Raw genomic sequence first — 11,036 nt, forward strand, 5'->3', positions numbered from 1 at the left:
CGGTTTGCACCGTGCACCTAAAAAAGCCACAGACACTCAATACCAGCCGGTGAAAGCAGCCTGAAGGAAGTCTGTACCTTGCAAAGGCACAGGGGCAGAGCTGCTCAAGACCATGGGAACCCACCTCCTGCATCAGTGTGATCTGATTGTGAGACCTGGAGTCAAAGGAGATCATTTTGGAGCTTTAAAATTTGACTGCCCCCCTGGATTTCAAATTTGCATGGGCCCTGTAACCCCTTTTTGTTTTGGCTAATTTCTCCCATTTGAAATGGCTGTATTTACCCAATACCTGTACCCTCATTGTATCTAGGAAGTAACTAGTTTGCTTTTAATTTTACAGGCTCATAGGCGGAAGGGACTTGCCTTGTCTCAGATGAGACTTTGGACTGTGGGTTTTTGGGTTAACGCTAAAATGAGTTAAGACTTTGGGGGACTGTTGGGAAGCCATGATTGGTTTTTGAAATGTGAGGACATGAGATTTGGAGGTCAGGAGCAGAATGATATGGTTTGGCTATGTCCCCACCAAATCTCAACTTGAATTGTATCTCCCAGAATTCCCATGTGTTGTGGGAGGGACCCAAGGGGATGTAATTGAATTATGGGGACTGGTCGTTCCATGCTATTCTCATGATAGTTAATAAGTCTCATGAGATCTGATGGGATTATCAGGGATTTCTGCTTTTGCTTCTTCCTCATTTTCTCTTGCCACAGCCATGTAAGAAGAGCCTTTCACCTCCTGCCATGATTCTGAGGCCTCCCCAGCCAAATGGAGCTGTAAGTCCAATTAAACATTTTTTTTGTTCCCAGTTTCAGGTATATCTTCATCAGCAGCGTGAAAATGAACTAATACAATAAGATTATGAATAATGTTTTTCTACTTTTCTCTATTTTCTAAATTTTCTTCATTTCTACTTTGTTATTTATATTAATAAAAATGAATGTGTCATGTATAATTTTTACTATTGTTAATTATTAGCAATAATCATAATAAATTATAATTCAACCATGATCTTCTTGCTTAACTTTTGTTATTTTTCTTATAGCATTCTATTCAGGGAAGCACATATATAGGGTCATTATTGAAAGTATACCAAATTTTACTGCTAAATTTGTCATACAAACTGCCTCTGAGAATAAGCCTTGCACCATGTATTTAATAGAATCATTGAAATACGGAAATATTTGTGTGTAACAACTTATAATTTCAAAAGATGAACAGAAAGAGCATTATCTAAAAACAAAGAGTATAGATTATACAATCTGAGGTTAATAATATATTTTAATAATTAGTACCAGAGCAAAATTATTTTTTGCAAAGATCAGTGGTGATTTGCAAGGCTCTAAAGATGAACAATTTAAGATACTTAGGAATAAAACAATGAAATAAACTCCACAAGTAAAGTAGTAAAATGAAATCTACCTACCATACATAAAGTAGAAAAATAAGCCACAAGTTGGGAAGAAAATATTTGTAACCCAAATAAACCACAAAGGAGTCACACCAGGATATATATTTTTAAAATCCACAAACTAATCAAAAAAAGACCAAAAGCCCAATTAGGAAAGGGCAGGAATGAACAAAGAATGTGAAAAAACAATTCCCTCAGTAGAAAACTATAGTATACCTTTTAGTCTTAGTATATATATATATATATATAAAGATGGCCAATATCTCTTATAATTAGGGAAACACACATTAACAAACAGTGAGATACCATTTATGATAATATTAACTTATCTGACAATTTTTTATATCTGACAATACTTTATGATTGAGTCTTTTTTAATTCACCTCTTCATTATCAATTGTTAGTGAGGGCATGGAACAACATGTGGGAGGGCAAATTGGTACTACTACTTACTTGGAAAGCAATTTTGGTAATACCTAGTGAAATGGAAGATGTGCTCACACAACAACCAGAAAAATGGCCCCCAAAATGACTTAAAACACTTGGTAAAATATAAGAAACATTATCTGAAAAGCATAGATGATGCATTCACAAGAAAATAAGACAAATGCTTTGGGACCAGAAAAGAAAAGGAAAAACTACAATTGTGTTATATGAGTTGTCAGTGTGGCTGTCTGGGGAGTTCTGCCAATCCTTGTAAATGTAGACACATGGATCGTCATGACCACAAGGGTAAAGAACAAAAGGTCTTTGTTTTGAGAGAAGCTGAAATTTAGAACTGGGACTACCATCCCTCCCTCCCACAAGACACCAAAAACACTCACAAAAACATGCACGCACACATGCACACATTGACAAATGTGGTGCTTGGATGCTAGAAGCCTACACCTTCAGTGAAAGGGTGGAATAAAAATAGATCTACCCATTAGCAATGGGAAATACATAAGTCATTTGTTTTGTATGGGCTCTGGGTAGAAAATTATCTCCTCTGAGAATTTTTAACACCAGGTCTGTGCATACATAAATTTGAAATTTGAATGTACATTACCACATGGCCTAGGAGTCTCTGATTTAAGAAATTAACTCTAAAGTGGTGTAGGCTGGATGCATAGCACAAACAAAAGCAAACTTTGCTGGAAGCAACACCCTGAATCTGTCCCAACCCCTTTTACAAAAGAACTCTTTATAAATTTATGGATATAAAGGGAACTATAAGAGATAAACACTAACCGAGGACTAGGGGTAGCAGAGGCTGTTATCACTTCTAGCAAGAAAGGGGAACGGAAGAAGGTGAATACTGGAATCTAGGTGAAAATTAGGTAGATAAGGTCATTGTGAGTAGAGCAGTTGACCTTCACTTGATAAACACCTGAGAACATGTGAGATTAACAAAGACATGTTCTGCATCACTGTTTGTAAATGAAAAAAAAAAACAAAACAGTATGCTTTTTAAATGCCCATTTACTGGACAAAAAATTAATAAATTGTGGTGTGGTCATTCACTGGAATAATGAATAGCACTTATAATAAATGAAAAGTACTACATTTATCAATCTGTATATATTTCAAAAAATATAACAAGTGAAATAAGTAGCTTGCAAAAGATTCTTACAATAAAATCACTTTAATAATAATAACTTCAATATAAATTTTTAGTTTGTAAAGCAATATTTTGCTGCTTATATGTGCATACTAACTACCCACCCCTTTCCACCAGCACTGCACTAGTTCATCCTTATTATGTTAGACGTAGCTCCAAAGTCCATTGTGAAGTTTCTTCCAGATGCATATTATCCACACCCACCATCCTCTGAACCTGACATTTTTGTCTCACTCACTTTCCCTCTCCTCATTCCATCAGACTTACAAGGAGAAAACTATCCTCCCTTCCTGCATGGCAGAAAATTTCCATTATTCCTGACTTATACAAACAACATTCAAGCCCACCAGATCTAGCTTTCAGTATACTAATGGAAGCTTTCAATATTTAGAAAATCCATACTCCCTCTACAAACCCTAACTGTGGGGCTTTTTACTTTTCATTTTTTACTTGTACTAAACCCAGATTCCAGAGAACTCGAAATGGTTTACAAGGAAGGAGTCTCAGAAACCCATCAGCATTCCATTCCCTCCTCATCCAGGAGGATATATTTATTGCAGAGAAGGAATATGGAGTGTTCATTAAATGTTTCTTTTCTTGGCTATGGTGGGCCATCAGATAGTCCTCTGTGTCATGGTCAAAACAAATCCATCTGCTTCTATACTTCCAAAGTTCTGGGCAATGGTGGGCTGATATGGCTTTTATCCCATGTTGAAAGACATCCTCAAGATCCATAAAATTAGTGACTAGCTGGTAAAACATTTGTAAATCTTGTCACACTGGAAGCAGGCTAGGATTTCAGAGCCAGAAAATATTATAAAATTTACCTAGTCTTATATTATCACTTACTGATGAGTAAATTGAAGACTAGTGAGGTTAGAAAGTTCCCAGTGTAACTCAGCTAGTGAGTGAGGCAGGTAAGAACCAGAGACAGGTCAAGAATCAAGCTGCTTAATTCCTACTCCAGTGCAATTTCCTCTGAAGGAGAAAAACTGTCTCACACCTGGTACGAAAGCCAACCTTTCTTCCTTTGGGGAAGAAATTAACATTTCTGGCAAAATGCTTAAGCAAATTTCTTGTGAAGTTTAATAAAAATCTTGTTATGGGACACCATTTCCTTCCCACACAGCTGTCAGTCAAGAGTGACCCTTAACCAAACTTTTTCTTTCATTTATATCTAATCCAGTGACTTCTAATTTTACTGCACATAAGAATCACCCAGGAAGGTTTTCTAATTCTCAACATCCAGATCAAAACCCCATACTAATTAAATCAGAATGTACAGGGATAGAAGCCAGGTATCAATATCCAATATCTTTTAAAGCTTCTCTCCTAGATGGGTCCAATGTGTAATAAAGTTTGGAAACCACTGATATAGCCCAACAATGATTAACCATCTCTCTCTCTCGCTCTCTCTTTCTCAATTGCTCTCTTTTCTCTTTTTCTCACAAATGACCTATGAAGGATGAATCTTGGAACTGGCCACAGGAGGCTTTTTCCCTGGCATGAATTTACTATTTTTCTAAAGTTTATCCCCCTTTGCACTGTCTTCCAAAGTTAAATGATAGACTTGGATGCTTTAAAAAAGAATACATTTAAAAGACAAAAAAAAATTCTTAAAATTTTTACATTTATATTAGGAAAATCTAAGATAATTTAGTTATTCAGGGTAAATAAAATCACGACTAGTAATTTACTGCCAGAAAAACAATCTTTGATTAACACCAAATAACTATTTAACTAAGCACTTTATGTTTCTCCCGTAATTGTGGAAGTACTCGCTTGCTCTTCATTATACAATTATTGGACTGCTAATGCTTTCACAAGCTATAATCACTATTTTTGGCCTCTCCCCATCCATAGCTATAGCTCTAATTGAGTTTACTAAGGAAGTACATTATGCAGTTGTCCATCAGAGACTGAGGCCAATTTCCTGACTTCCTAAATAGCTAGTCACAGAACTATAATATCTGGCAGAGAATACTAGAAATCTGAAATACCTCCATTATTGAACATCTGATTTTTCTGTCAGATTAACTGTTTTTCTAAACTGTGTTTCCTATGCATTCATTAACCTGCAAGACTAAATATGTGGTTAAAGTATATGAGAGCAGCCACAACTAATATTATTGATACAGGAGAGATATTTATTGAACTTCCAATATGTACCAGGCCCTAATTAAGCACTTTATAGACCTTACCTTATTTAATCTTTACAAAAATTTTAAGAGGCATTTTATTTTATAGTGATGTAAATTGAAACTCTGGGAGATTAAGCAGCGTGTCCAAGGCAGCCTGTTTGGGAGATGACAGTCAGGATTCATTCTGTCAAACAATGAAAAAAATAAAAAGGCTGCCAGATTTGTTGTTGTTGTTAAATTCCAAATCTACTAACTTGCCAGAGAAGAGAACATAGGCCAATGAAAAAAAGTTACTGAGCACTTGACTGAAGGAAAAAAGTCAGAGTAATTACTAGAAAAGAGGAGTTCATGGTGTTTATGCTAGTTAAGTATTAAAAATTACTCTGTATAGAATCAAATAAATACATATTATTTGTAAACAGTCTGTTAAAACAAACCCCAATTCCCACAAAGGGCTTGTATTCAGAATTTACATGTTTTTTAAAAAACTCTTAAAATTCAGTAATAAGAGCCCGGTTTTTAGAAATTAGGCAAAAGATTTAAAGCAACATTTTACTAAAGCAAATATACAAATGGAAAATAAACACATGATAATATGCTCAACATCATCGGTCTTCAGAAAAATTCAAATTAAAACCATAATATGATATCACTGCAAATCAATTTGAGTAACTCAAATTCAAAAAACTACAAATACCAAGTGCTGTCAAGGATGCAGAGTAAATAGAACTCTTATACATTGCTGGGGCCAGGAGAGGATACAAAGTGGTACAAATGTTTTGGGAAATCATTTGACAGTTTCTTAAAAAATTAAACATACACCTATCACATGACACAGAAATCTCACATTTCATACAAGAAATAAAAATGTATTTCATACATAAACCAATACATGAATAGTTATGGCAGTTTTATTCATAACCTCCAAAAACAGGAAAGGAAAGGGAAGGGGAATATTTATGGCAGCCTTATTCATAACCTCCAAAAACAGGAAAGGAAGGGGAAAGGGAAAAATATATCCTTCAATAAGTGAATGGGTAATAAAGCGTGTTATGTGAAAGAAGCCAGTTTCAAAGGCTGTAAACAATATGATTTCATATACACAACATCCAAGAAAAAACAAAAATATGGAAACAGAAAAAAGACTAGTGGTCAACAAGGATTAGGGATAAGGACAGTATTTGACTGCAAAAGGTCAGCAAGAAGAAATTTTGGGGAGCAATGGATTTGTTCTGTGTACTGATTATAATGGTAATTACACACATCTATAGAAGAGTTAAAACTCATACACACATATACACAAAGATAAGTTTATGACATGTTAGTATTTTTTTAATAAAATGAAATCTTTAGTCAGTGGGGGAAAAATGTTTCATTGCTCATTTGTCAGGAAAGAGGCTTCATTTAGGCTTACTAGGGTTCTGGCATACTGGAATTACACTAAGTTCATGGACATTTATTAGCTTCGGTTGATTGGCATCAACTGTGATGAAGCCCCACAACATTCAGCTTTTATATCTCCTAGGAAAGGGTAGCTGTGACTTAAAAAAGTTATTTTTCCAGTCCCTCTTCTTGATGTTTCTACACCCTAAGGCAACAAAATGAACACACAAAAGATAAGCAAATCATCAGATTTTAGAGTTGCATCACCATGTTGGTTTTAAGTGTCAGACTCCCAAAATTCCATTGTGTTTATTTAAGTTAACTGGATTTTCTTTTGAGGTAGAATTATCTGACATATGAACCAAAAGGATGATGGAAGCCCAAAGGCACTTAAGGCCCTATTAACAAACAATACACTGGAAAATGGCAACAACTCTAGGTACAACATAACAAATGTTTATAAAGCACCCCTTAGACAGTTGTTTTTTATTTGGACAAGCCCAAAAGTACAATATCCAAAGGGTTGGTTTTCCCTACCTTGGACATCAAATTGATTTGTTCTTGGATTATACATTAGGATACAAATGCAATAGGAGTAACCAGAACACAAATGCTACCTTATTTAGTGAGGAAATATCTAAAGTGATTCTATTATCTAGCACCTTTGTAACAAGCAAGTTGAAGCTTTTATGTTGAGTTTATATAGCACACACAGTCTACAAAGTTTCATTTGCTGTTAGTATCATTGTAAGGATAGTTTCAAATGCAGCACTTAGGAATCTCAAGCCAAAGGGGAAAACTGTGCTCTAAGCAATGGAAACCAGTATCTCCAACCTCTCCAAGGAGACTGTCATGTCAACAGACAGTTAGATGAGAGAAGAATAAATCATCTTGGACACTACTAGTATAGAAATATTAAACCCAAAGTGTCATATAAACCTTTCCCATGTGGTACCCTCCTTACTCTCTCCAAGGCCCACAAAGTGACATGATATTACTGTGGTATAAGTATACTAAGTCACATGCACACAGCCTGGAATTTTGGTAAGTTCTGTCAGTATACTTGAGTATCTTAAGTTACAACAGTAAAGTATAGCTAATCCAAGCAGTGTGAAAAAAATTTTCCTTGATCATTTGTTGAGTGAAAAATGTTGTTATTTACTGTGATATCCCATCAGCAGTATTTTACAACATATGGGTTACAAAAAAGCTATGATCTTTTATATGAGCTATTCATGGCATATTTATAAGGATTAAAGTAACACTTGGAATATATTTTGAAGTTTTTGCCTTATAATTAGTTTTGGTTTTTTACAAAAGCAGTGGCTGCATATCATCAACAAGGAAGGTATAATTTTTACAGAAAGGGTTATAAATCATGAAATAATCACAAACAAAAATTGATTTCCAGGGATGAATTTTATCATAATTGCAGCTGGCAATATTTTTAGCAGAATGCCTTAATAGACAGAAACTTCCTTGGTATTCCAGAAGGATGACAAACTCACGTTAATTAAATTTCCTGATACAACAGTGGCCTTGCTGAATCTAACGAATAGTTGTTTATATAAAGAGATTTTCCTAGAATTAGGATGGGCAGAAAAATATAATACTTAATTCATTATTACAAATAATTAACAAATTAAAATGCAAGCAAGTAGTTCTATTTGTAGAACATTGACCTGAATATCAGGTTATCTGCTTTAGGTTAATCTGAGTAAAGTAGAAATGAATTAAACACTAAGGGAAGAATCTTTGAAACATCTAATACATTCTTTTGGGAGGGTGGGGATAAAACATGAACAAATTTAAAAGATGATAATGATGAAAACTAAAGACTGGCAATCAACAACACTACCTAGTACACAACTCAAAAATTCTGGAACCAAAGCACACTTGGAAAGGACTCAAACATCAGGCTATACCCATGGGATTTCTGAGGGAGAAATTGTCAAGGAAATCAGTGTAGCACAGGCTAACAGAGAATGGGAAGCAAACAAAATGTGCCAAGTCAGGCACAGAACTGATAGAAGCTACTTGGGTGCTGAGTACAGTTGGTCCAGGATGAATCTCAAGACAAAGATCTTTTGCTATCATATCCCTTATATGTAGGCCAATTACTCATCCAAGCTGGAACTCATGAAGAGAAAGAAGGCATTAAAAGTAATTAAAATTACCTGATTTTTTTGAAAGATTATTGATCAACAAATTATTTGCATTATATTGTTAGACTATTTAAATAGTACTATCCAACTACTACTTTTTTAAAAAAATTCTCTAAAAAACTGAAAATAACCATGTTCATGTATACTAAACACAATTTTAAAAACTCATATTAGCAGGGCATGGTGGCACAGGCCTGTGGTCCCAGCTACTTAGGAGGATTGCTTGAGCCCAGGAGTTTAGGCTACATGCAGTGAGCTACGCACTCCAGCCACTACACTCCAGCCTGGGCAACAGAATTAGACCCATCTCTAGAACAAATAAATGACTAAATAACCATTTTTTAAAACTCATATTAAATATGTGAACACTAACAAATAACAAAAGCAGAAAAATTATCATCATTTTCATCATTTTTAAAATAATATTTTTCCCTAATACTATATCCTGGTGTTTTTCTGAAGACTTCATTTTTCTGTATAATTTTTTTTTTTGTTTCATAAAACTGCCTGCATTTTCTTCAGTATTTTGGAAAATTATTGACATCTGCAATGGATACTTCTCTGTAGACCACAGGTTTTAAATACAGAATTCTCTGGATAGGTGCCAAGATGCTTGATAAACTCAGTGTAATTTCTGCTAAACAGAGAATATTATCAATGATAATTTCTGTACTAGTGATTATTTAAATCCAAACATTTTCACAGGCACTGTCTTTTGCCTCACAAAGTGCTTTTCAAAGGCCTTTTCTTCAACAAATATTTTTACAAGACAAATCTTATCAAATAAGTCATCTCTCTTTATGAATCTTTTTAATGCTTTGCCAAACTTGAATGCTGCAAAATTATAGTCCTTCTCAGTTTCGTTCCATTCTGGCATAAAACATAAATTTATCTAATTAAAAATAGAAGCTCCATCAAAAGATTCTTCTCACAAGTCATGATACTGCAATATGCAGCTATAGAATTTCAAATTTAAATCTTATACTACATTTGAGATCATAAATTAATTTGTTCAGTTGTGTCACTGGAAAAAGTTCAATGTCATAAGGTTTTGCAGTAATTATACTTTGTTACAAGTTTCAAATGCTGAGATTTTGGAAGCTATGTTTATTACTACATTGATTAAATTTTTCAACTTAATTTGATGAAAATGCAATAAAAACTTAGCACTTGTTTAAATTTCTTTACCATTACAGTTAGACTTAAGATGATTTACAAAGAAATTCTTCAGATTTAAACATTCCTAAAATTCATTTGATAATAGACAGTAAGAAATACATGCCATCATGCCACAGTACTTTTTAAAATTAAAACTTAGCTATATCACAAAAAATGTGGTTTCCTAATTATATATTAAAATATTTGTAAATTCTTATAACTACAACTTCTACTTTGAATGGTAGAATTTCAGCTCCTATTGTATAGAATATTGCATCACAACCAATCCCAGAGTACAAGTTTTAATTTAATGAGAACATTGCTTTTACCACAACCCTGTGCTCCACCAAAATATATATGCATATTACCATGAAAAACAAATGATTTTATCAACAGTGTTAACTGTTTTAACTGGATTTTTGATAACATTCATAGTTAATGCCAGTTGCTTCAGCTTTGACAAAATGAACTTCCACGTTTTTCTTTAACTTCTATGAATTGGATGAAAATATCAAACCATTATAGGAATAAACAAACAATTTTCTATTTTAAGTATCTGATGGCAGACTATTTTAAAAATTGTTATCATTTAACTGATTGCAAAGTGCTGCTAATGGAGCTGACACATATACAATCAGTATTGTTTCATAGGTATACTAGAAAACAGAATCAAAAAGGAGCAAAACTAATATAGAAGAGTAGTTATTTGGTATAAATAAAGTGTTGTGCTTTCCACAGTGGTGTACGTAGACACATTCTGCAGACTTACCTATTAAATTGTGGTCTTCAGACATAATCTTCTTAAAATAACGATTCATTTTTGAGGCAGATGCTAATATTGTTTCAGCATGCGCTCCCCCTGCCCACCATTGGGTGGTAAATGTCCACAAATATTTTGTATTAATTATCTGTAAGAGTCAAAAATTGCACTACTTAATCTGACGTCTTAATGCACTTTTGATGTTTTGAGAGTTATTAAAAATTTAAAAGTGTTACCAAATACTAAAAATGTAAAAATAGTTTTAGATTTATAACTTATGATAAGTGACAATACCACTGTAGGGAGAGCAATCAGATCTCTAGATATTCTCTGGTGCAGGGCAGCTCAGCCTCTGTTCTCTGTACAGAGCATCTAAGCTAAAATTCCCATTTCCCTCTGACTCCAGCAATTGGTGATGCC

General features: G+C 34.1%; 1 long non-coding RNA gene across 1 annotated transcript in view; it reads right to left on the bottom strand.

The window, feature by feature from the left end:
- Positions 1-10,764, bottom strand: part of LOC105376755 (uncharacterized) — a 673,333-nt gene extending 662,569 nt beyond the window's left edge. Inside the window, exon 1 of the long non-coding RNA XR_007088699.1 lies at positions 10,626-10,764. This is a non-coding gene — a long non-coding RNA (uncharacterized LOC105376755). The remainder of the gene's footprint in view (positions 1-10,625) is intronic.
- Positions 10,765-11,036: the final 272 nt, after the last annotated feature.

This window comes from Homo sapiens, chromosome 2 (assembly GCF_000001405.40).
Source record: "Homo sapiens chromosome 2, GRCh38.p14 Primary Assembly".
Lineage (NCBI taxonomy): Eukaryota > Metazoa > Chordata > Mammalia > Primates > Hominidae > Homo > Homo sapiens.